The sequence below is a fragment of the Homo sapiens genome, chromosome 6 (assembly GCF_000001405.40).
Source record: "Homo sapiens chromosome 6, GRCh38.p14 Primary Assembly".
Taxonomy (NCBI): Eukaryota; Metazoa; Chordata; class Mammalia; order Primates; family Hominidae; genus Homo; species Homo sapiens.
Genome location: NC_000006.12, coordinates 161,263,170 through 161,290,112, shown reverse-complemented (window position 1 = coordinate 161,290,112; position 26,943 = coordinate 161,263,170). Strand labels below are relative to the sequence as shown.

The window sequence follows — 26,943 nt, the reverse complement described above, 5'->3', positions numbered from 1 at the left end:
GCTCCTGCCTTGGCCACCGAAAGTGCTGGGATTACAGGTGAGAGCCACTGTGTTTGACCAAACATTATTTTTTTAAAGAACCAGCAGCACGGTTAACCAGACACCCCTTTCTGATTAAATGTGCAATACACAAAACGCTTTCATAAATAGTCGTGTAATAATTTGCTTATAGAGCTCTATGCAAATTATTTTTCAAAGTTATGTCATTGAGTTTTTTAGGGGGATAACTCATGATAACCAAATGAATTTAGACTTAATTAAGTACATGGATTCTATAGTAGTCACAACGTTGTGAGAGTAAACGTTTTTTTTAAAGGCAAGTAGATAATTTGCAGTTGTGTACATATGTGCTCCCAGGCTAATTTTCTTTTCTTTCTTTTCTTTTTTTTGAGACAGAGTCTCACTCCGTCACTCAGGCTGAAGTGCAGTGGTGGGAGCTTGGCTCACTGCAACCCCCGCCTCCCAGGTTCAAGCAATTCTCTTGCCCCAGCCTCCCGAGTAGCTGGATTTACAGGCGCATGCCACCATGCCCGGCTAATTTTTTTGTACGTTTAGTAGACACGGGGTTTCGCTATGTTGGCCAGGCTGGTCTTGAACTCCTGATCTCAAGTGATCTGCCCACCTCAGCCTCCCAAAGTGCTGGGATTACAGGCGTGAGCCACTGCGCCTGGCCGGAAACAACTATATTTTAAAAGAAGTAGAAGATTCAAGTGGTACCAACAATGCTTACTTTTTCCAGAAAAATAGATGTGGGATTTGAGCTTTGGAAGGTGGCTCTGGTGTGTTGTAGGTGGTGGGCACCTCCAGCTCCTGCTGCTCTTGCAAACTCCAGTTTCCAGATGGGCCTCACTTCTGCTGCTCCCTGTGGGAAACTCCTCCAGTTTTATCGTCAGTCAGTTTCCTAATTTTTTTTTTTTTGTAGTCTTGCTGTGTCACCCAGGCTGGAGTGTAATGGTGCAATCTCGGGTCACTGCAACTTCAAGCGATTCTCCTGCCTCAGCCTCCTGAGTAGCTGGGATTACAGGCATGTGCCATTATGCCCAGCTAATTTTTGTACTTTTAGTAGAGACGCAGTTTCACCATGTTGGCCAGGCTGGCCTTGAACTCCTGACCTCAAGTGATGCATCCACCTTGGCCTCCCAAAGGGCTGAAATTACAGGTGTGAGCCACCTCGCACGGCCAGTTCCCTATTTTTATCAGTGCACTTTACCATTTATCTACTCAATTCCTCACCCATATGCAAGGCTGCCCTTTTCTGAAGGATGCTAGTGGTGAATCCATTGAAAAATCCACTGATTGTGTTCCCCTAGGGCCTCTTCAAGATGGAAAGATTCAGGTGGGGCACGGTGGCTCACACCTGTAATCTCAGCACTTTGGGAGGCCGAGGTGGGCGGATCACCTGAGGTCAGGAGTTCAAGACCAGCCTGGCCAACATGACAAAATCCGTCTCTACTAAAAATACAAAAATTAGCCGGGGTGGTGGCTTGTGCCTGTAATCCCAGCTACTCAGGAGGCTGAGGGAGGAGAATCGCTTGAACTCAGGAGGCAGAGGTTGCAGTGAGCCAAGATTGTGCCACTACACACCATCCTGGGTGACAGAGTGAGACTCTGTCTCAAAAAAAAAAAGCCAGGTGCAGTGGCTCACGCCTGTAATCCTAGCACTTTGGAGACCGAGGCAGGTGGATTGCCTGAGCTCAGGAGTTTGAGACCAGCCTGGCCAACATGGTGAAACCCCGTCTCTACTAAAATACAAAAAAATTAGCTGGGCGTGGCAGCATGTACCTGTAGTCCCAGCTACTCAGGAGGCTCAGGAAGGAGAATTGCTAGAACCTGGGAGGTGGAGGTTGCACTGAGCCAAGATTGCACCGCTGTACTCCAGCCTGGGTGACAGAGTGAGACTCTATCTGGAAAAAAAAAAAAAAAAAAAAAAAAGATTCTACAGTGAGCACAAAGGTGAAACTCACCTTGAATGCTTTTACCAATTGAGTGTGGATGAACTAATTCAGAGTATTGCGGGCCCCTGCTGCAGCAAACACAGAGCTCCCAAAATGCTCAGGCTATTGGGAGGCAACTGCCTTGTCAGGGTGGCCAATGGTTTCCCCATTGCCAAATCGGACAGTTAACTCCAGTCCTTGTCTGACTGGAGGCCTGCAGATCACTGCCTCCTCTGTAACGCTCTTTACCCCCAACCCAGGGATCCAAGATGCCCTACTCTAGGATCATTTTCTCTGCCTCATTCATCACTCAGACTCCTTCATTTGTTCCTTCTCTTCTCCCTCCTCTGAGTGCTGCAGAGCCCGGGTTTCCATCCTCAGACCCCTGCCCTGCCTGCTCTCTGTCCCAAGGCAGCACTGCCAGCATCCGAAATAAAAATCCAGCCCTCCTATTCATAGTGACATCGAATTTCAGATCAACGACAAAGAGTTTTATGGCATAAGCATGTCCCAAATATTGCATGGCCCCAAATATTTACTTAGTTAATAAGTAAAAATTGCACAAGACATACTTATGCTAAAGAGTATTGACTATTTGTCTGAGTCCAAATGTCTCTGGGCATGCTGGGTTTCATCAGGTAATCCTGCCATGATTTCAGTTTCAAGGTGATACCATCTATGGTGACTCTTCTGAAAATGTTTATCTCTAGCCTAGGTCTCTCTCCTGAACTGCAGACTCCTGCTGCCTCCAGCACATCGCCACTTGGGTAATGAATAGGTGTCTCAACCTGAACATGTCAAAAACAACACTCATTTTTCCCCCCAATTCCTTGCCGTTCTCACAGGTAGTCTCGTCCCCCCAGCTGCTCACCCACAAGCCTTGCACTCAGCCTTGACTCTGTTCTTCTCACACCCCATATCCAGTCTGCCAGGAGGTCCTTGGTCCTCCTGGGCTACACTAATAGTGCCTCTTGCTGGTCACTGCAACCACCTCCCATTCCTTTCCCTGCATTGTCCTGTGCCTCACATGGTTTTTTTCTCAACATGCCAGCCAGAATGACTCTTTGAAAACTTTCTCATGCCATGTCACTTTTCAGCCCATCGCCCTGCAGCAGGTCCCCATGTTACTCAGTGTAAAAGCCCAAGGTCCTTGCCCCATCCTGCAAAGCCCCTGTGACTCTGTGGTCTCTGGAACCTTAACTCTTCCACTCTTCCTCCAGACCACTCCCTCTCCCGCAGCCTCCTGGGTGCTCCCACCAGCCAGCATGCTCCTGCTGCGGAGCTGTGGCCCTGGCTCCTTCCTTCCTCCCGGAATGCTCTTGGCTCCGGTGTGCATCATGGAGATAGCTCCTGTCTGCCCCCAAATCGCTGCTCAAACCTCACCTCAGTGAGGCCGGCGCTGACCTCATCACTGACCTATTCACCTTCCAAACTGCTCACCTCCCAGGACTCTGATACTCCTTCCCAACTCTTTTTCATTCTTCCATAAATAACAATGTCTAACTTATTAGGCAATTTCTTCATTATAATTGTCCTTTGTTTTCAGTCTCTTCTCACTAGAAAGGAAAGTCCATAATGCCCAGAATCTTTGTTGGGTTCCCTGAAGAATGCCAGGCTCCCGGAAGAGGGCCTGCCTCCCAGCAGGCACATGTGTGTGGAATGAATGAATGAATGAATGAATGAGGCTTGTGCAAACTAACTGCTTGCAGGAAACACCTGCTCCTTCCTGGGCACTGGGTGAAATCTTTCGTAGAAGTTAACCATTGACTCTTCTCCCCACCAGCCTCCTCCGTCCCTCACAGTTAAATGCAGCTGGAAGAGGGGTTGCCCTGTACCTCCAGCTAGGTGGACTCCCCAGGAAAGAGTGACATCTCACCACTGAGCCACCTCAGCCTTTTCCAGAGACAAGCCTTCTCTAGGCCAATCATCAGTGTCACAGCTATTTGTTCTTGGGATTTGTGGCTCTATATTCACATGTAAGAAGCCAAGGCACCCATGGGGAGCCACAGGCACCAACAGAATACACTGAAATCAATCTTGCTGCGACTGGGGCTACAAGCATGGTTACTTGGCTCACCACAGGTATTTTCTTTCTTTTTAATTTATTTATTTATTTATTTATTTTGAGACAGGGTCTTGCTCTGTCCCCCAGGCTGGAATGCAGTGCTGCGATCTCGGCTCACTGCAACTTCCACCTCCCAGCTTCAAGCAATTCCCCTGCCTCAGTCTCCCAAGTAGCTGGAACTACTCCCGAGTAGCAGGTACACATGACCGTGCCCTGGTAATTTTTTTGTATTTTTAGTAGAGACAGGGTTTTCCCATGTTGGCCAGGCTGGTCTCGAACTCCTGACCTCAAGTGATCCGCCCACCTCAGACTCCCAAAGTGCTGAGATTACAGGCATGAGCCCCTATGCCTGACCATCACAGGTATTTTCTGAAGTTGTCAGTTTTAGTTCTGGAGGATCCTTGGAATGTCATGTTTTGGGGGATGAAATAAGAGAGGAAATTATCAAGATTGCTTGCTAAAGTGACTTGTGCATCTGGACAAAAAAGAAAATGCAAGGGAGACAAACCCCTGAATCTACTTAGTGAGAAGGTGGAGCAGGGAAGGGAACATGGTGCCCGAGGTAACAGGCTTTACAGTCTAACTTCCCCGGTGTTAGGTCCAGGTCTACTTACCATTGTAGGAATTCTCAGCCTCTCTGAGAACTTCTTAGGGTTAGGGCCTAACTGCCCTGGAGTTAGGTCCAGTTCTGCTTCTCCTTGAAGGAAGTTCTCAACCTCTCTGAGCCTCAGTTTCCTCTTCCATAAATCAGTGATGCTATATCAAAGCATAGCTTTGTGAAACACAAAAACAAATGAAATACGTATGCGATATACTTAGCATATGTTTCTATTTGTTCTTCCCGGAACAGGGTGAGTATACAATAAACTGCAGAGACTCTCATTCTTTGGGATTTAATTCTTTGGGATTTAAGCTGACTGCTGGGTTTTTGTGTTGTTTTTCAGCTTTATTGAGGCATAATTGACAAAAAAGAATTTGATATATGAATACATTGTAAAATGCTTACCACAACCAAGTTAGTTAATATATCCATCATCTCACATAATTCCTATTTTTGTGGTGAGAACGCTTAAGGTCTACTCTCAGCAAATTTCAAGTATAGAATGCATTATTAACTGTAGTCACCATGCTGTACGTCAGGTCTTCAGAACTTATTCATTTTTTAACTGAGTTTATGCATTTAGACAAACATCTTCCCATTTCCTAGATGCTGGGTTCTAAGAAAACAATGTAACAATTGTCCCAAGAAAGAAGGAAATTCAGGCCAGGTGTAGTGACTCATGCCTGTAATTCTAGCACTTTGGGAGGCAGAGGTGGGGGGATCGATTGAGCCCAGGGGTTTGAGAACAGCCTGGGCAAAATAGCAAGATCTTGTCTCTACAAAAAAATAAAAACAAAAAAACAAAAAAAACTAGAAGAATTAGCCAGGTATGGTTAGCTGGGCGTGGTGGCGTGTGCCTGTTGTCCCAACTACTCGGGAGGCTGAGGTGGGAGGATTGCTTGAACTCAGGAGTTTGAGACTGCAGTGAGCCTTCATCTCAAGTATCAAGTATCAAAGGCTTGATAAAATATACTTTTTACTGTTAAAAAGAATACTAAATTATATGACGTATTGTTATAATAAGGAAAGGCGTCCAAACAGATCCAGGTGAAAAAAAAAAACAGAATAATGGCAAAGGTTGTCTCAACAAATGCAAACTATTATAGTGTATGCCAGTCATATCACATAGGCCAGGCTTACCTGTGACAGTGTTCATGAAGCCCTTTTCAGAAACCAAAGCTAGAATCAATTTCATTCCTGGGTAACCTGAATAAAGAGAAATACATTTCAAAATTAGTATGGGACTGGGAGAGACTAAAATCTGTTGTTTTGGAGGGAGATCTAGAGTTTTCTCTTGGACAACAGATGGAGAAGTTGGAGTGAATAATTTTTCTTTTTAGCTTTTTTATTGAAATCACATGAATACAAAAAAGGGCACAGACCATAAGTGTACACATATCAATGAATTTCCCCAAAGTGCATACAGCATGTGATGACAACCCCAAACAAGAAGGAGAATATTACAGCACCTCCGAAGTCCCCTTCCTACCCCTCCCACTCCCCACCCCACCTGCATCTCCAAAGGTAACCACAGAGATTTGTAACATTATCTTGACACATAGACTCATCGTCCCCAGTTTTAAACTTCTCTTGGAATCATAGAGTGATAATTTTTGGTGTCTAGCTTCTTTGGGTCCAAATTATATTTGTGATATTTTTTCATGTTGTTGCATTTAGCTGAGTTTTATTCATTTTCATTGCTGAGTAGTGTCTTATAGCATAAGTATACCACAATTTATTTACTTGTTCTAGTTTTTATGAATATCAGTTTGTTTGCAGTTGTTTGCACTCTGTCGCCCAGGCTGGAGTGCAGTGGCACGATCTCAGCTTACCACAACCTCTGCTTCCTGGGTTCAAGCGATTCTCCTGCGTCAGCCTCCCGAGTAGCTGGGATTACAGGCATGCGCCACAATGCCCAGCTAATTTTATTTGTATTTTTAGTAGAGATGGGTTTTTGCCATGTTGGCCAGGCTGGTCTTGAACTCCTGACCTCAAGTGATCTGCCTGCTTTAGCCTCCCAAGTGCTGGGATGACAGGCATCAGCCATAGAGCCTGGCCCAGTGCTATTTATAATGGTGTGTGCTTAAATGTGGAAGTGCCAGGTCACAGGTATGCCTATCTTCAACTTTAGGAGAACCCATTGCATGACTTTCCCACACAAGTTGCATTCCTTTTCTTTGCTCCAGAAATGTGAACTCCAGTTGCTTCATATTCCTGCCACAGCTGGTGTATTTCATCTTCTGTATTTGAATCATTCTGATGGATGTGTTCAAGTGAGGTTGACCATCTTTTCTAAAGTTTGCTGGTGGCTGGGTGCTGTGGCTCGTGCCTGTCATCCCAGCTACTTGGGAGGCTGAGGCAGGAGAATTGCTTGAAGCTAGGAGGTGGAGGTTGCAGTGAGTCGAGATCACACCGCTGCACTCTAGCTTGGGTGACAGAGTGAGACTCCATCTCCAATAAATAAATAAATAAATAAGTAAAGAATAAGAATAGGTTTTACACAATAATAAATGTAAATGATAAGATAGATAAACACTTTGAAAGACCTTAAACTTCATATGTAAGGTACAAAAATTAAAATTGATGTTCATCAAAATTGTAAAATTTTCAAAACATTTTCAAGGCATTAGCAAAGTGGTGACGAGTATTGGTACATTCAGTAGTGCATGTAATTAGTCACAAAACCCTCTTCTTCTGGGACTTCATCTTAGAAATTTAACCAAAAGAAGAAAAATGTGTGTGTTGTCATGGTGGTATACTATAGAGGTAAAGAATATGATCTTCTGAGTTAGGCACACTTGACTTGAAATCCTGCCTCTGATATTTACTAGCTAACCTGGAGGAAGTGACTAAACAAAGCTAAGCTTCAGGTCCTCATTTATAAAATAGAAAAAAAAATATATCTGACACAAAGTGCTTAGTGCCCAGTACATAGAAGCAAGTGCCATTGAAGAATGAGCCGCAGTAGGTGAAGGCTGGCCACGCGCAATATCCCACAGGAGGACAATTAAAAAAAATACTATATGCTAAGTAGGTAGAGTACTTGAAAAACATCGAGAAGATAATTAGGACAGTTCTGATAAGTTAATGTGTTTAGGTTGTGCTAGGTAAAAATACGGTAACAATTTTCTATATCCACTATGATTATAGCTAAATAAAATATGCATGCATATAAACAAAGACTAGAAAAGAATGTGATAAAGAAAAAGGAGAAAGATGATTTTATGGAGACTTAAAACTTTTCCTTAAATGTACGTATAATATATAAAAACCAAGAATAAAAGTGATGTCTAAAAGAAACTCATTTGAGTTATAGGAGTGGAAAGAGAATGTCCCAACTGCCCCTGGTAAAAGGTGACACAGCTGGGTGCAGTGGCTCACACCTGTAATCCCAGCAATTTCAGAGGCCAAGGCAGCAGGATCACTTGAGCCCAGGAGTTCGAGACATGACTGGGCAACATGGTGAGTCCTTGTCTCTACAAAAACAAAATTTAAAAATTAGCCAGGCATGTTGGCTCACATTTGTAGTCCCAGCTACTCAGGAGGCTGAGGAGGGATGATTGCTTGGGCTGAGGAAATCAAGGCTGCAGTGAGCCATGATTGTGCCACTGCACTCCAGCCTGGGCAACAGAGAAAGGCCCTGTCTCACCAAAAAAAAAAAAAAAAAGAGATGCAAGTGATAATGTTCATTCATTTAATTAGCATTTATTGGACTCTATTGTTCCAGATCTTTGAAAACAAGTATCTTGCCCTCACAAACTAGTAGGGAATAAACATATAAAAACAATCAATTAAATCCCATTGTGTGAAATGCATTAATAGAGATTAATACAAGGCAACACTATCTTTGACAGGAGTTGGGCTTCCTAGAGCAGATGGTAAGATAGTCTTAAAGGCTGTGGGAGGTTAGCTAACTGATGAGGGGTGAGGTAAGGGTGGTCCTTGGAAAAGTATGTGCTGTGATGTGAACTTTCCCACCAAAATTCATGTTGACATTTAACTGGCAATGTAACAGAACTGGAAGGTGGGACCTTGAAGAGGTGATTAGGTCATGAGGGCTATGGTCTCACAAATGGATTAATGCTGTTTTGAGGGAGTGGGTTTGCTATCACGGGAGTGGGATACTGATAAAAGGATAAGTTTGGTCCTCATTTTCTCTCTGTCTCTCGTGCATGCTTCCTTACAATGTGATACCTTTGCCATGGGTTTACTCTCCCAGATGCAATGCCATGCTCTTGGACTTCGCAGTCTCTAGAACTGTGAGCCAAGTAAACCCCTGTTCTTTATAAGTGATCCAGTCTGTAGTAACCGGTTATAGCAGTGAAAAACGGACTCAGACAGTATGGAAAGAGATAAGAGATGAAACTAGAGAGAGAGAGAGAGAGAGAGAGAGCCAGATCATGAAACATCTTGCATGTCATTCTAAATAATTTGACTTTTCTCCTGAAATAAAAAGTAGAAGAAGAGGTTTCTTTGAAGTCATTCAAGAGTAGAGGGGCCCTGTACTAACCCAGGAGCAGTGGTGGTGAGAGGAGAGGACTTTGGAGAAATATCTTTGAGAAGAGAATTAACAGGATGCTTTGAGGGCTGTGAGGGAAGAGAATTAATAGGATGCTTTAGGGGTTGGTGGGGGGAAAAGAAGCAAGAGGAACAGGGAAGAATAGAAGATAACTTCAAAGTCATCAGTTGCACCAAAGTGTGGAACTAGAAAGTTGGGAAATTGGACCTCAGAGAACTGGCCAAGTTGGGGCCAAAGGTTTGTTTTTGGACTTGTTCAATTTGAGCTTCCTTTGGGACAGATAAATGAAGATATTTACCAGGTTATTGGATAACTGTCTGAGGTTTAGGGAAAAAATGCCAACTGGAAATATAGATCTGAAAGTTACCTGTATATTAATGGATGGGGTGAAGGGAGGAGGAAAGAGTGGTCATTTTTTGAGGTTCTACATTATTTCTGGTGCTTCACACATTCTGTCTCATTTGAACATCACAACTAGACCCATGAATTTTGTGTATAAGGAACGTTGAGTCTCCAAAACTTAAGAATTAGGACTCTGGTTGCAAATGACAAAGCTAGCTTAATGGTAAAATTTATTATAAGAATACAGGGGACTCTCGGGGTACCCAAATTCAGAGAGGAGAGCAGCATGTTCTCATTTTTGTTTTGCAAAACTCACTTTTGCAAAGGCTGTGGGTGAGAAGCAGACTGGAGGGGGCAAGAACAGAGACACGGAGGCCAGCTGGGATCCTTTTCTTTTCTGCTGCCTCTCTTGCAAATCAATCTTGAAGCTAAGTTTCATTGAACTAGACATAGCTTTGGCTTTAAACCAAGATAAAATGAGCGATCCTGGAGAAAAGATCTCCTATACCTTCTGCCAACTTTTGTCTGATAGTTGCCTAATTTCAGTGCTATTTTTTGGGTGTAAAACTGACTCTCTCTATATAAACTCAAAACGCATGTACTACAGATGGACTTTCAATGACACTTCGTAGAATGATCATGAGTTTAAGTAGAAATTGTCTTTTTACTCTTTCATGTTAATAGAATTTTGTTTCAGCCTTGCCTTTGGATCTGAAATCCTAGGAAATACAGTGGAAAGAATTCTGTGGTGAGAATCATTAAACACTGAGTCTGGTTCAGCGCTGCTTCCTGTTACTTGTGTGACCCTGGACAGGCAAACCCAGCCTCCCTGGCTCTGATCCCTCCTCTGTTAAATGAGGGATTTGGATTGACACGAGTACTTCTCAAACTTTAGTGAATCTTCTGGGGATGTTGTTAAAATGCAGTATGTATTCACCAGACCTGGGGTGGGGCCTGAGACTCTGCATTTCCAACAAGTTCCTAGGTGATACTGATGCTGCTGGCTCAGGATCGCACTCCAATTAGGCCACCCTCCAAGGTGCCATCATGCTGTAAGCTATAACAACTACCAAATAAAGAAAAGCATTATGTCAACAATGGATAACAATAAATACTTATTTTAGAAAATAAATATAGCTTTTTCTTTTTTTGAAACAGGGTCTTACTTTGTCACCTAGGCTGGAGTGCTGTGGCATGAACACAGCTCACTGCAGCCCCGACCTCCAGGGCTCAGGTATCCTCCTGCCTCGGTCCCCCAAGTAGCTGGGACTACAGGTGTGCACCACCATGGTTGGCTAATTTTTGTGTTTTCTGTAAAGACAGGGTTTTGCCATGTTGCCCAGGCTGGTACAAATATAGCTTTAGTTTTCTGTTTGTAAAAGTAATGCATGCTTACGAAAATTGTTCTTAAAAAAATCACATAGGCCGGGCGCGGTGGCTCACGCCTGTAATCCCAGCACTTTGGGAGGCCGAGGAGGGCGGATCACGAGGTCAGGAGATCGAGACTATCCTGGCTAACACGGTGAAACCCCGTCTCTACTAAAAATACAAAAAATTAGCCGGGCGTGGTGGCGGGCGCCTGTAGTCCCAGCTACTGGGGAGGCTGCGGCGGGAGAATGGCGTGAACCCAGGAGGTGGAGCTTGCAGTGAGCCGAGATCGCGCCACTGCACTCCAGCCTGGGCGACAGCGAGACTCCGTCTCAAAAAAAAAAAAAAAAAAAAAAAAAATCACATACCATGCAATGACAGTAAAAATCATCCCAAGTTTCATACCACTTGAACTAATGTGCTCTATTGTCACTTGGCTATGAAGAATACAAGTGCTAGGTTTCAGTATTGGCATCGTATTACCTTGTCTTTTAAAATCAGGTTGTGAAACTGGTATCTTTTTCAATTTGTTGCCAATCAGTTATGCGTTAATTGATTTGAATTCAGTTCCTTCTGTTGTGGTAGATTTGCTTCTGTATCGTATGATTTCAAGTTGCTCATTGCCTGAATTCAGGACAGGGTAGTGGGTGGCTTTCTGGGGCCATCTCAGGCGGGCTGAATTGACCTGAAGATGGCAATAAGAGAAAAAAGCCAAGTAAATATCAAGAACAATTTTTAGCATAAAATTCAGTGTTAAGATTCATTGAGAGCTAATCAATAGAAACGAAGGTTCTGTAAATACATCCATCTTATGGGAATAACTTAGGTCATAACCATTGTTGGCAAAGGAGGAAATTTTTCTTAGTTCCTCTGCACTTTCCCCAATGATATTAATGTTACACCTCTTTGATCGTACTTGAAATGATTGTAATAATAACGAGAGCCGTAAGAGTTTGTTGGTCATAAAAACATACAACATTTTAAGAACTTTATTGGGTTTTTATTGACATATATAACTATTAAATATAAGATTATAGACCCCAAATATCAAATTAACTTTAGCATTTACAATTTTCCTTTGTCTCCTCTAAGCAGCCACAATTTCCAATGTAGCACATAATGAGGTCATCATAGTTGCAAATCTATATCTTCATATTGTATAACTTGAGAACATTTTTAAACTCAGTGTATAGGTTTGTGTGGATGTTGTATCAATGTTCACAACACGAGGCAAGTGGAAATAAAGCAAAAATACTGTTAATGTGTAATAACATTGTGCTAACAGAATGGGCAATTTGTAACAATGCCATCAGTGACTCCACTATCTAGCACAACAGTTAATACATAGTGTGTAAGTTCACATTTCAGATAAGTGATAGTTATCATTTTAAGTACCAAAACTTAGGTTTAAAGAAGTTTCTGAGATATGCAGAATTCTACCTCTCACTGGGCTTTGAAAATATGTTACTCCTCAGGACTCACCGTGTCGTAAGCATCACTGATTATTGTTTATGTCTGTTCTAAATTGCAGAAACAGTTTCAGAAACCTAGGTTATTTGGTTTTTAGTCCTAATCTTGTTACTGTAAAAGTCACACGTGTTCATCCATTGTAGAAAGTTCTCCAAAGTGCAATCACATATAAAGAAGCAAATAAAAATCATCCTCAATCTCACTCTCCAGAAGTAATGATTATTAACAGTTTCATGATCTTCATCACACTGCATTAAGTTTCCCAGAGCTGCCATCACAAATTAGCACAAACTGTGTGACTTAAAACAACAGAAATTTATTCTCTTACAGTTCACGAGGCCAGGAATCTAAAATTAAGGCATCAGCAGGGTTGGGTCCTTCTGGAGGCTCTCAGAGAGTCTGTTCCATGCGTCTCTCCTGGTTTCTGGTGTTTGCCAGCAATCTTTGATTCATAGACACATCATTCCCATCTCTACCTCCGCCATCACATGGCCTTATTCTATGTGTGTGTCTTTCTGCATCCTCTCCTCTTTTTATAAGGACACCAGGTATTGGGTCTATAGCCCATCCTAATCCAGAATGACTTCGTCTCAGCTGATTAACATCTGCAAAGACTCTGTTTCTAAACAAATTCATATTGTGAGGTTCTGGGTGAACATGAATTTGTGGGGGACACTGGGGGACACTTATTCAACCCACTACACACACTGTAATATATATTTATAGAATCACGAAAACGGGACCATAATTTATATAAAGCTTAGTTCCCTTTACACTTAAGATACCATGAATTTCCCTAGGTCTTTCAAACACAGAATTTTAATTTTTTGTAGAGTGTTTCATCATATGAAGATTACATCATTTCCATAGCTAACCTGCTACTTCAAACACTCAGATGGTTTCCAGACTTTACTATTATAAATGGCTCTGATGAATATACATGTTCCCAAATCTTTGAATTTATCTCTGCTTATGTCCTTGGTATAAATTATTCTGAGTCGAATTATTGGATTAAGGGGTATGAACATTTTAAAGGCTCATGAAAAATCTTCTTTAATTGAATTCCAGAGATTGTATCAATTTGCCATCACCAGCAGAAGAGAGAACCCATGGCATTGCATTCTCTGCACTGCACGTTCTAGCTTTTTGAGTGTTGGACAAGTGACTAGGCAAAGAAATAACATCCTTACTTTGTGACTTGTATTTTTATGTAAGGTTGCCTCTTTGTTTACGGACCACTTATATATCTTTTTTAGGTTACCAATTTATGATTTGTGTCTCCTTTTCAATTTTTTTCTCCTCTCTCCAACTGCCAGTATTTATTTCTTACCATCTCACGGATGAGTATACTGTCCACCTCCACCCCTTTTAGAGTCCACTGTTAGCTAAGAAACTATGTAGATGTATCCTCCCTCTCCTTTTCCCATTCTCGAACCACCTCTGAATCTTGTACAAATGTCAATCATTGCCTCCATTGTGTCTTAACTGTTTACATTTCGCTTTCCCTTCTAAGACTTTGAGCACTTTGGGGCCATTTCCATGTCTTATCTGTGTTTTTGTATCTTCAGCAACTAACATGGATGCTCAATAAACATACATTGAACTGAGTTGTTACGTTGTGACCTGGAAATATTCACAATTCCTTGTATAGATAGAAATAGCTAAATAAGGGCACATAAGGATAGACTCTAAATGGCACTCAATAATGTGCATAGGGCTGGGCGTGGTGACTCCCTGCCTGTAATCACAGCACTTTGGGAGGTGGAGGTGGATCACCTGAGGTCAGGAGTTAGAGACCAGCCTGGGCAACATGGTGAAACTTCGTCTCAACCAAAAACACAAAAAATCAGCTGGGTGTGGTAGTGTATGTCTGTAATCCCAGCTATTTGGGAGGCTGCAGCACGAGAATTGCTTGAACACAGGAGGTGGAGGTTGCAGTGAGCTGAGATCGTATCATTGCACTCCAGCCTGGGCAACAGAGCAAGACTCTGTCTCAAAAAAAAAAGCATAGGATTTAATCCATGAATTTTGAATTTCTATGTTAAATTTTTAGAAATAGTAACTTTTTCTCCCATATTTCTCAGCTATATCTGAGATAACTGGGACTGAGCAACATTGTCTAGACAGGCAAAGTGTTAGCAATAATAAGTATAATAATAATTGTAATGTAATAATGGAATGAGGATGTTAAAGTACTGAGATCAGGATAAAAGTTACAATTGTCCAAATTTTAAATTTCCTATCATTTCCACTGAAATCACTGACTGTACTTATAACATTATCAGGAATTTATGCAATTTGTAGGTTTTGAAATAAATTACCATTCAGAATTCAACCGTGAAAAACAGTGTAACTCTACTTGAAAAACACTTTGAAAAACTCAAGTTTCCACCAAATCTAGAAGCACATGGGTCGTAAAACATAGTTCGAAAAGTTACGAGAGATGATGACTACAAGGAACTTTTTATAAAAATCTTTTATAAGCATTACTCTGTGGTCAAATTTATTTTCACATGGATATTAAAACAAGTTATTGCTACAAATGGGTTTCTGTTCTGATCCTTTTTTTGTTTGCCTCACATATCCTTTCTCTTCCACCACATTCTGCTTCACTCTCCCCGTCTCTCATCACAGACAAGAAAAATGCCACCTCCCATAGGACCCACTCCAAACCCTGTTTCCTGAATGATCAATGCCTTCCCCCATCGCAATCAAAAAAGCACTTTCTATTCTGTCTTCATGACACACTGGTTTTGACACTTGCATAGCTGTTAGTAATTCTGCAATGTGCTTGGGCTATTTGTGAGCACATGTATTTTTCCTTTATAGATTATAAACATCTAAAGAACAAGGTTAACCCAGGAGTCAAGTAAATAGTTAAATATTATTTTGACAATGGCTGTAATAGTGGACATTTGAAAGGAATACACCTCAGTATTTTGAAATTGAAATAATTTTCTAGATCCTGGCATTTCTGGACTTTCAACAGCCCACCCTTTTTAAAAATTGTGAAGACACTTTTACTATAAAGGTCTGCCCAGACCCTCTCTGATACACCTGTGTAAATGCCACGTGCATGTGAGCATGCGACAGTACGTGTGTGCACGCCTGTGCAGTGGTAATCAACCATGGTGCTAAGGTTTGAAAACAGAAAATACATCAATCGACCTCCAAGCTTCTTTCATCCCACTTCATAACATCTCAATCTCTTGAGTGCTGAGGCTTATTTTGTTTAAGATGATTTGGACTCTTCTGAGTGCAACGCAATCTCCTTCCAGCACAGCGGACCGAGGAGAGGTGAGGGGAGAGTTTTGAGGGTGGGCATATTGATCCTACGCTTGCTGAATTAAAAATGAGCCAACTGAGGACAATTTCCAGGTTGCAACACAGACGGAGCCGGAGTCTGGGTTGAGGTTAGAGGAGCCGTTAGGGCGCAGGGATGCAACAGGATTTGGGAGAAAGGGGAGAGAAAGCAAGGCCACTTCCAGGGGGCTTTCATTTTTTTTTTATCCTGGCAGCTTCCCGAGCCAGATTTCAAAAGCGATTTCAAACGTGAAGCCAACTGAAGCACTGCCTTACACTAATTGGAAGGGGAAGGGAGTGACTCATATTACACCAGCTCGCTCTTCCCTCTCGGCAACTGCTAACTTGTAGCTTTAAAAGGAAGTGACATGGGTGGGGAGAGACGTCAGCTGAGGACCACTTTTTTTTTTTTTTTCTTCCTGAAGGGTCCACCCCATGGGTGGAGTCTCGCTTTTTCTTTCCAGTGTTGGCTGACTTACAGCTCTTATAAACTAGTGGCAATTTCTGAACCCAGCCGGCTCCATCTCAGCTTCTGGTTTCTAAGTCCATGTGCCAAAGGCTGCCAGGAAGGAGGTATGTGGTCCTGGTGCCGTTCGCAGGCACCTTCCCCGCTGGGTGTGGCTGATGTTTGCATTCCTCTTCCCAGCATATTTTTCTCTCCTGGGCTGGATTTCCTTAGGACCTCTGGAAGGGGTAGGCTCCGGGGGCGGGGGGGGAGTGCAAGGCGGGCGGGGGAAAGGTGCAGGGGGCGCCTGGAGGGAGGCGAAGAGAGGCTCTGCTGGTACAAAAGGACCCTCGCTTTGTGCTGGGCCGGGTGAGCGTCCCTTTCTGGGCTGTGATTTCAAGCTGCTGTTCCTGGCTTCATTTACCCACCCACCCAGCCCCCTCCCGGGGCTAAAGCATTTTCTCTGCTATAGACGAAGCTGGGCGGGGGGTGGTGGTGGGGGGAATGTTCCTATTACATATTGCTCTCTTTTGTGTCATGCAACATGTTCTTCCGTCGCTGACGTTTCTATGGCAACCACAAAAATACTACACAATATGCAGCCCCGATATACATTGATTTATTTGTATTTTGTGTCTAGTTTGCAGCTTTCTGCTCTGCTTCTTGCTTTGGTTTGCTAAAATCCAGCATGGCTTGTGGCTACCCCTCCTCACTTTCATTTTGGTTTTTCCCTATCACAGGAGGGGTGGGGGAGGGGAGTTGTCAAGGAAACAGGCATTGGTAATTACCTCTCTATTTACCTAATTTTCGGCCTATGAATTTCTCCATATCGAGGAATTAAAAAAAGAATGCTTTGATGTTTATGTAAGTCTTCAGTGTCTGGTCTTTTTTTAGAAAACCTAAACACTTCTTAAGATAAGATATTGATCCTGTGGTCAAGCTAAGGGGGAATTAATTCCTTACAGGAGGTGAGATCATTGAAATAAAGTTTTAGAGAGCATTGGAGAATTCGCACTGATAAATGTGATATTGCCTGCCCAGGTTTGCCTAAAAGCTTAAATATTTAAAAGATGGGTCTTTGCTCTCATCTGCACTTATTTAGCTCCAAATCTTAAGTTCAACAAGTATGAGTAACAAATTAACTGCCGGGCAGGATTCTCCGTTTTTCGTTTTCGTGCATTGTTCTTAGATGGATTAGCCACGCTATTCACTCTCTTCAAGGTGAGGGTTGCTAGACTTTTTCAAAACTGTGGAAGGATTAACTCATCTGTGATTAGTCAACGACTCTCAGTTGGAAAAAAAGTATCTTGAGAGAAGGGAGAATGTGTGTGTTTGTGTGTGTGTGTGTGTGTGTGTGTGTTTAGGGAAATGGGAGGCGGGCAGGGAGAACAGGGCACATCTTGAGTTCTACGTTAAAAGGATTCCATCTTCTGAATATTCTCTATGGGGAGAAAAACTGTTATTCAGAAAAAATATGAAATGAGAAAATTATTATCTACTTAGTAATAAGCAAAGTTAATTATAATTAGAATCAAATAACACATCTCTTAGAAAGACATAGCCTCTTAACAGGTACCGGCTAAACTGATGCTTTTATTCAGTACGTCTAAGGAAGCGTTTGATAAGGGATACCATTCTTCTGATGGGCATCCCAAATAATTAGCTTTTATAAAATAGATAAGTAGTAATCCCATTCATGACTCTTAAAATTATCTATAATTTAAGATAAACATGTGTGAAGGTCACTTAGCCCTCATACCTTCCGGCTGCTAAAGCCAAAATCATTACTTATAAACCTTGAGCAACCCTGCCATGTGGAAGCAGGAAGAATGGGTGGTTTCAGTGAGGTTCTGTTTGCTGTGATCCTTATCTAAATATGCTATCATCTATGTCTTATCAAATCTGCTATAAATCCAGAGGTCCTAAGTAATTCAGGTAGAAAAGTTACCTGAAAATGGGGCAAAATAGCATGGCACAAAACAAACCAGAGCCACATGGAGTTAAAGACGAGAACTATTTAAAGGGCATAACACACAGAAAAGTATTACTAAAAAGAATATGACACTCATTTTGAAAAGCACATGTTAGTACACAGAGAAACGGTTGGATTGTGAGCATCTGATGTTTGCAAAGAATTCTGAAAAGCAGCCAGGCTGAAATTACTGTTTTTCCTGTCTGAAAATGGTCCTCAAGGGCAGATTTGCCACATGACCTTCCAAAGCAGATTGACAGCATGTAAATCAAAGTCTGCGATGTCGGTTCTCTTGAGTTTCCAGATTCAAAATTTCACAGCAAAAAGCCTAATGGAATAGAACTGAAAGGAAAAAGAGCAAGACTTCCTCAGAAGCACAGCCAAAACAAAAACAACAAAAAACCCAAACCCAATAAACAAACAAAACACTGTCTGATATTCAGATGCTGAGTAGAGGTTAAAGCAGTTAGCAGCTTTGGCCTAGGGAAGGTAAGTGGAGCTGTGAGTATAAAGTAAACGTAGGGTCCCATGGAAGAGGCTGACAGAGGTGACACCCAGAGGGTGAGTCAGCCGTCATTTTATTGGGATTTTACTGTCTGCAAGGCTCTGCTGTGAAGTTGGTGAAGAAGGCAGCAGTTGTAGTCTGTGCTCTCAAGCTTAAAATCCACCAAACGGGTGGCGAAAAGAAGAGCAGAGCACCCAGCTGGAAGGAAGGGGGAGGCAACAGCCAGTCAAGGAGACGCAATTAGTATGAGAAGAATACTAGAGAGTCTTCATCCTGCTGCTGAAGCTTTATAGGAGAGGAGGCAGACGGTTCAAGGGAAGAAGGAGAGGGTGTCTTAGATAGCAAAGGTGGATGGTAAGAAATGGATCATGGTTCAGGGTTCTTAACTCCAAGAAGGGAGAAGTCAGTCTTTAGTATAGAAGTAGAGCAGGTATACTCTGTGCTGGTTGAAAGCATAAGTAGATGTAAATTGGGGACAGAAGTTTTTCTTAATCAGAAAAAGAAGGACTGTTAGAAGACTGAACAGAAGGCAGAATCCTTCCTAATCCAATACTTTTTTAGCTTCAGCTTAACAACGAAAGGCCAGACTTACACTAGACTTTAAACAGGTATGAAACTGGGGAAGACGCAACCAGGAACTTACCCGGAATGTCATCTTCATAATTCCTGCCATTGCCATTGTTTTAAATTATTGGATGCTCAAATGAGGGTTTGGTAAATGTCACACGTTTTGTGCAGTCTCCTTTATTCTGGAAAGGAGGTCTGATGGTTATGGGACAAAGCCGCATTCACATTTATTTTTTTTTTGAGATGAAGTCTTGCTCTGTCGCCCAGGCTGGAGTGCAATGGCGTGATCTCGGCTCACCACAACCTCCCCCTCCTGGATTCAAGCGATTCTCCTGCCTCAGCCTCCCGAGTAGCTGGGATCACAAGCATGTGGCACCACGCCCAGCTAATTTATTTTTTATTTTTTTGTATTTTTAGTAGAGATAGAATTTCACTGTATTGGCCAGGCTGGTCTCGAACTCCTGACCTCAGGTGATGCACCTGCCTTGGCCTCCCAGAATGCTGGGATTACAGGCGTGAGCCACCGTGCCTGGCCCACATTCACATTTCTGAATGGTGTTTGACCTCTAAATCTTTGGTGAAACGCCTTTCATCACTCCTATTTTGAAATATAATCATAATAATCATGTAACATTTCCTAGAGCTTGGGCAACTCAAATTCATTATTCTTTGTGTGAGAATCAGTTTGGAAAGGAAGCGCTGGAACTCTGAAACCTGGCTTCATGCATGGGCTTGGGAAGGTCTGCAGTGGCTGCCAGGCTGTAGGAAAGAGGAAGCTTAAAGCATGAACTCTTTCTTCAACAGCTGTTTATTACGTGTTTAATAGGTGTCAGGTCCCACAGATGCAACTGTGAGCAAAACAAGATACAGTTTAAATAGTTATAGTTTTCAAATGGGTTTACAAGGGAAACCCCATGACTGGCAGATACCCATTTTCTTCTAATGACTGAATAAGAGGAAATATCTTAAAAGGAGTATAATTTGTTTCAACATTGTCATGGAACAATCCATCTACCTGTCTTCTTTTCCTTGGCACACTCTTGCTCCACAAAGATTTCCCATTGGTTTCATTGTTTGTCGTTATCTTGTTTCTCCGATCTAATTTGCTCTACTTCTTCCTTTGATCCTAAGTCCTACCTTTCAGTCACCATTCCTTCATCCATTCACACATACATGATACATCCATCTGTCCTCTATCCACCCCCAATCCCTTCATTTATTCAACAAATAGTGTTGAGTATCATGTCTCAGGCACTGTATATTATAGATATAGCAATAAACGGGAAACTGGTTTTTCCTTAAAGAAGCTTAAGAACTATCAGGAAGACAATGTGGAGACAGCCTCTAAACCATGGGGGTATGACTTTTTTTGGGGGGTGGGCAGGGTCTCGCTCTGTCACCCAGGCTGGAGGGCAGTGGCGCCATCATGGCTCACTGCAACCTCTAACTCCTAAGCTCAAGCATCCTCCTGCCTCAGCCCCCCTCCCCCAGCAGCTGGGACTGCAGGCGTGAGCCACCGCGCCTGCCCTGGCGGTATCACTTCTAATAGAAGCATTTATTGGCCAATGAAACAGGATACTTCTTTCATTGAACAATTTTATAAATTGTTCACACACAGCATAAACTGTGCTGGGCAGGGAGGGATCAAGTGGTTAGCTGTTGACTGTTGTCCATTTTATATATTTTTTGTACCTTCCATGCTGGTTGAGCATAAGGATGGTAAACATTTGTTAATTAACTAAATGGGAAGAGTGGAATTTCTAACGCAGGAGACACAGAGGAAGAGAAGGCTTGTGTATTCTCTTTCTGAAAGAACAATCTGAGAGAGAGAATCTCTCAAGGTTCCCATTCATAGTGAATTACTCATAGATTTCCAGGTGACAACAGCTCCCCCCACATCGACTCAAAGTATAGCATTTTAAAAAAGAAAAACTACCTGCGTCCAATTACATACCCATTAGTTCACTGAATATCCTCATGTCCTTTGGAGCTGATTTCCCATAATACACTGCAAGTCTCTGTCTTGTTCTGATAAAAACAAGTGGGTTTCAACCCCCTACAGCTTTCTTAATAGTAACAGCAGTGCATCCAGAAACTAGTGGTGGCTCTAGAGACCCAACACGAACAGTGTTGAGACCTCGTTGCAGCACTTTCTCTGTGTTTTCTGATGTCATGAAACTCTTCTTAGTAGAATTATTTTCCCCCACTTAAGTTCCACCGTCAGCCTGGAAATTATATGGACAACATGACAAAGTTCCTCTGGAAAACCACACTCCTCTGCTTGGCTGACCTTGGGAGAAAACATTTAGCAAGTTCTTCTTTTTCTTGGTTATTTTAAACTCAGATGATATCAGCATGAAGCTGTTCCTAATAACTCTGGTTGGCACGGGCATCTCTGCTCTGTTTAGGTTAAACATCATAACTACTTCATGGTCATTTCTGTGTGGGATCCTCCAAGACGAGAGGTGCATTTTGAATTTTATGTTAGTTTGAAGCCAGACACTAAAATTCCTGTAAGGAGAGGGGAACAACACACACCAGGGCCTGTTGGAGAGTGGGGTGAGGGGAGGGAACTTAGAGGATGGGTCAGTAGGTGCAGCAAACCATCATGGCACACGCATACCTATGTAACAAACCTGCACATTCTGCACATGTATCCCGTTTTGTTTTTTTATAGAAGAGAAAAGAAATTCTTGTAGGAGATGATGCCTCAGTCTAGTTTATGCCAGGTAACCTGCAGAGGTCATTAGAGACACTGAGGTGACTGGCTGACTTACAGGATATGCAAGAATGATGACAGCCTGCCTTCACTGAGGGCCTCCTATGTGCCAGTACATGGACTTCACATTTATTAACTCATTTTAGCCTCATAACAAAGCTAGTGTGTGAAAACTCTCATCGTGCTCCATTTTACAGAGAGAGAAAGTAAAGATGAGGGAGATTAAGCAGCTCAGCTAGGTCATAAGAAGGAGCAGAGCTGAGACGTTAACCCAGATCATCTGGGCTCTGCTTTCCCCTGTACCTTCACACCTTGCCATGGCATATTCCACAGTCTGTCTCCCATGCCCAGTGCAGAGCCTGGCACATAACAGATATGTGGTAAATTTATTTTTTAGTTTTGTTTAAAATGTTAAAAGTGAGACTGGTCTTTCTTTTAAGAGGCCAGTCTCACTTTGTTGCTCAAGCTGGCCTTGAATTCCTGGGCTCAAGCAATCCTCCCGCTTCAGCTTCCCAAGTAGCTGGGACTACAGGTGTGTACTAACATGCCCAGCTAATATTTTTCTTTTCTTTTTTTTTTTGAGACAGAGTTTTGTTCTTGTTGCCCAGGCTGGAGTGCAATGGCGCAGTCTTGGCTCACTGCAACCTCTGCCTCCTGGGTTCAAGCGATTCTCCTGCCTCAGCCTCCTGAGTAGCTGGGACTATAGGGGTGCGCCACCACACCTGGCTAATTTTTTTGCGTGTGTATTTTTAGTAGAGACAGGGTTTCCCCATGTTGGCCAGGCTGGTCTCGAACTCCTGACTTCAAGCAATCTGCCCAGTGTGGCCTCCCAAAGTGCTAGGATTACAGATGTGAGCCACTGCGCCCGTTCCCCAGCTAATATTTTTCAAATAATGAACAAATCTCTACCGTGTAGACCTCTGCATGCCTTTCATCCCAGTTGTTAAGAACAGCAAAATTACTGCAAGAAAGGGTAGTATTTTAGAATTTGGAGAAAAACTAACAGCAGTACTTTATAAGACAAGCTACTATAGTTTTCAGGGAGTGTTGTTTTTATTATGGTTTAGCCAGAGATGGTGGGAGAAGGGAAAGGGCCTTGTGATTAAAACCATCTGAGTGACAATGCAGTACATACATTAAATTAAAGATGAACTCTTCTCAAAACCAATGTGTAACCCAGGATTGAACTTGACTGAGCAGCTGCTCTCAAGGACACCTGTGGTGGCTGCTCTCAGAGTTCCCAAGGCGGTGGGTGGATGGAGTCAGAGGCTTTCTGTTCTTCAGTGGACTTTCCACAAATCCACCACGGGGTTTAAAGGCAGATTATTATCTGCAAAGACCCTGCCAGTGCTTATCTTAGATCAACTCTGAAATGAGAATGGGAGACTTGAATTGATCCTGGAGTGAAATTTGGTCTCTTGCCCATCTCCATGGGCTCCTCGTGAGCTGTCAGTCTTCTGTGGGTAGAGGTTAACCGAGGCGGATGAAATTTTAAAGAACTATCTGTCTATGCAAGCACATCTTCTTCCCAGGATACTGCAGCCATCAGCAGACAATCAATGCAATCATCTCAGACTGTGTCCTGCGTCCCAGGAGTAAGTCATCAGGCTCATTTCTTTTCTTGTCTCTTTTCTGCTGGGGGAAGGGCAGGTTGCAAGGCGGATGGTGAGCAGATTCTTCGGCCTTTTGTGTGGGTAGCCTGCATAGGAACCATTTCTATGCCTGTGAGTCCATTTCTAGCATCTGCCTCCAGCCTCTGCTTTCCTGACGCTCTCCCATCACCCCATTCACCCTTCATAAAACAGTCACTCTTTCTAGATGCATAATTACATGCCATGACAATGATTACAGTCCTCTCTTCATAACTGCACTGGGTGCTCATTCATGGCATGGAGGTATGATCGCATCGTTTGTAGCATAGAGCAGAGTACCCAGCACTGAATATGTGTTGTGGCCTAGAGAAGAGATGGGCACAAGAAGTCAGGTCATCAGGGTTGCCTCATCGCTGGCCTCCTGGCCAGGGCCTCAAGGGTGACATTCCTTGAGGGCGAGGTGTTTCTCAATCTCGATGTTGAGATTTTGGGCCCATTAATCCTTTATTGTGGAAGAGGCCAACCTGTGCAGAATCGGATGCTCAGCCACATTCCTGGCCTCTAACTGTTACATGCCAGGAGTAGTCACCCCACTCCTACTTGTGACAGCCAAAAATCCCCTAGAGGGACAAACTTGCCCACAGCTGAGAACCACTGCTTGAGGGGGAATTCCCGGCTCTGTCAGGTACACTCAGGAATCCGGTTGGTCCGATCAAAGCAAACCCATTTCTGAGGACTAATAGGGTCCTAACCAAAGTGGCAATTCATTAATTTAAATGAAGAAATACTTTACATGGGAATTGAAAAATAATAGTAAACCAACTTAAAAGTAGACACGTGGCCGTAAAGTATTCAAATATTTAGTGCTTTCTGCCCTGATAAGTCTGCGTGGGGGTCATGCTGGCACCAAGGCAGCCCGGTGCAGTGAGGAAATGGGCCAGGCTCGGTGGCCTGATAGGACCCCTTCCACACCCAGATCTGTGCAGACAGGCCCTCCTCGTTCCCCTCCCCACCCACCAGCTAAGGGAGCCTCCTTTTCCAAACCTCTCTGGAGTGAACAGATTAACATATCTCAAGAACAAATTGAGAGAGGCACTCACAAACCTGCTCCCACCTGGGGATTTCATTACTGTTTCCTTGACCTTCACAGTGAGTGCTGCGCCCCTGCAGTCCAGCAGTGGGTACTAATCCAGCACCCAGTCCAGCAGTGGGTACTAATCAGCACCCAGTCCAGCGGTGGGTACTAATCCAGCACCCAGTCCAGCGGTGGGTACTAGTCAGCACCCAGTCCAGCGGTGGGTACTAATCCAGCACCCAGTCCAGCGGTGGGTACTAGTCAGCACCCAGTCCAGCGGTGGGTACTAATCAGCACCCAGTCCAGCGGTGGGTACTAATCCAGCACCCAGTCCAGCGGTGGGTACTAATCAGCACCCAGTCCAGCGGTGGGTACTAATCCAGCACCCAGTCCAGCGGTGGGTACTAATCAGCACCCAGTCCAGCGGTGGGTACTAATCCAGCACCCAGTCCAGCGGTGGGTACTAATCAGCACCCAGTCCAGCGGTGGGTACTAATCCAGCACCCAGTCCAGCAGTGGGTACTAATCCACCACCCAGTCCAGCAGTGGGTACTAGTCCACCAACCAGGTCTCACTAGTATTAATTTGCCTCCTAGCATCCATCCCCACAGTTGCTGGTATTTCAAGCCTTTCTTTCCCTTTCCGTCCCTGGTGCTTCTCACTTACAGGAGGGGCCACCTTTACTTCCTTCCCAGGACCAGCACCCTGCCCTGCCTGAAGTTAGGCTTCAGCTCCCCAGCCCTGGGGGACTCTAGGGGTCCCATAACTAGTCCTGGGTGACCCTAGGGGTTCCATAACTGCTGTGTCCCTCCCTTTTATCTTCCCATCTCGCTTCTCCCTTCTCGCTTTCAGGCTCTCAAAGGTCAACAGAAGTGGGGTCAGTTATTCCAACTCCCCACCCAACTCCAGAATCCCCTTTCAGCGTTTCTTAGGGAGCCCGTGCATTCAGCCCGCAGGAATACAAAGAGGGAGCCGACCCTGCAAGTGCCTTTGAGGAGCCTGCTGCCCAGAGGGCAAGACGGAAGCCTCAGCGAGGGGTTCCCACGCAGTGGATAAGACTTGCAGGGCAGGGATGCGCGGGCACGCCAGGGGGACCACCTCACCACCCCTGCCCAGTCTGGGCTTCCTAAAATACTTCCTAGAGAAGAACAGCCCCCACGTTAGGTCTGGAAGTGGGGAGTATTGGTCCCAGTGTGCACGCTTCTCACGGAGTGCCAGAGACCAGAGGAGTGGGCCAGTGGGTGAGGTGGGACAGGGCAGGAGGCTGGAGTTTTCCTAGACCACAGAGGAATGAGGTGGGCTGGCGTGGCAGGAAGCAGAGAGAGGCTGAGCATCCTGCAGCTCTGGGAGGGGAGGCCCAGAAGAGGCACAGGTCTGAAAGCCAGGAGGGTTTGGTAACTTGTTGTATGGAGGGTGTCTTTGACGCCCTGAGATAGTAAATATAGGGAGAAAGAAGGTCACTTTCCAATCATATTCTTCCCAAATGGTCACTTATCATATTACACCTTATAAGGTGATCATTTATGTACTTTGTAATCAACATGTGTTACGCAGCACTTACTAGAAGCTGTCTGCTTTGTATAACACCTCATTTCAGCTTGCCCCCAGCCCTGTGGGTTGCCAATTATTTTCTCTAATCTAATTTGAAACTGAGGCACAGAGAGGTTAACTAACCCTCCCAAAGCCACAGAGCTAGCAATGCCTGAGCACACTGTGATTTTACTAAATATTGTAACAGAATTACATGGACTTGCATTTCATATTCTTGCCTTTCCTGAAATTTTCCTGAATTTTCTTTTAGGGTGAAAAGACTTCCCATTGTTTCAAAATGTGCAGAAACTTCCCATCACAGCCCCCCAAATCATGTGGAAATCTGGAAGTTACTTAAGACCAGATGATGTAATGAAGATGTTGTGGGGGTCACTGAAATCCTCATTTGGACTCCATCTCTAGAGGAATAATAGGGTTAAAGTTTGAGAGGAGGTCGGGGGAGAGGACCAGAGAGATATTTTAAATGTGCCTAATTCTTTTAATTATTTATATTCATTCCAATTTTTGCCACATTAGGACTTATCTCCTGCTTTCCATTCCTTCTGTCTTCCCCAATGGCTGAACTGTTGTCTTTTTCTTGTTTGTTTTTGTTTTTCGAGAGAGTCTCGCTCTGTTGTCCAGGCCAGAGTGCAGTGGCATGATCTTGGCTCACTGCAACTTCTGCCTCCCGGATTCAAGCAATTCTCCTGCCTGAGCCTCCCCAGTAACTGGGATTACAGGTGCCCGCCACCACACCCAGCTAATTTTTTGTATTTTTAGTAGAGACAGGGTTTCACCATGTTGGCCAGGCTGGGACTACAGGCATGAACTACTGCGCCCAGCCTGTTGTTTGTCTTTTTAAAGAGAGCCTGGTCTTCAGCAGCTTCTATATAGCTTTCCTCACCGGGGGAAATGCACCTTCCTTAAGCATCCAAG

At 43.7% G+C, this 26,943-nt stretch overlaps 1 protein-coding gene across 1 annotated transcript in view, besides 1 other annotated feature; it reads left to right on the top strand.

The window, feature by feature from the left end:
• The first annotated feature begins 16,051 nt into the window (after positions 1-16,051).
• AGPAT4 (1-acylglycerol-3-phosphate O-acyltransferase 4) overlaps positions 16,052-26,943 on the top strand; it is a 144,095-nt gene continuing 133,203 nt past the window's right edge. Inside the window, exon 1 of the mRNA NM_020133.3 lies at positions 16,052-16,175. The gene's annotated coding sequence lies outside the window, so the exon portion shown is untranslated. The remainder of the gene's footprint in view (positions 16,176-26,943) is intronic.
• Positions 20,902-21,196: an enhancer, noted in NCBI's record as "tiled region #4197; K562 Activating DNase matched - State 5:Enh". NCBI's record gives its function as "activates a minimal TATA promoter and a strong SV40 promoter by Sharpr-MPRA in K562 cells {active_cell/tissue: K562}" and the evidence as "EXISTENCE:reporter gene assay evidence [ECO:0000049][PMID:27701403]".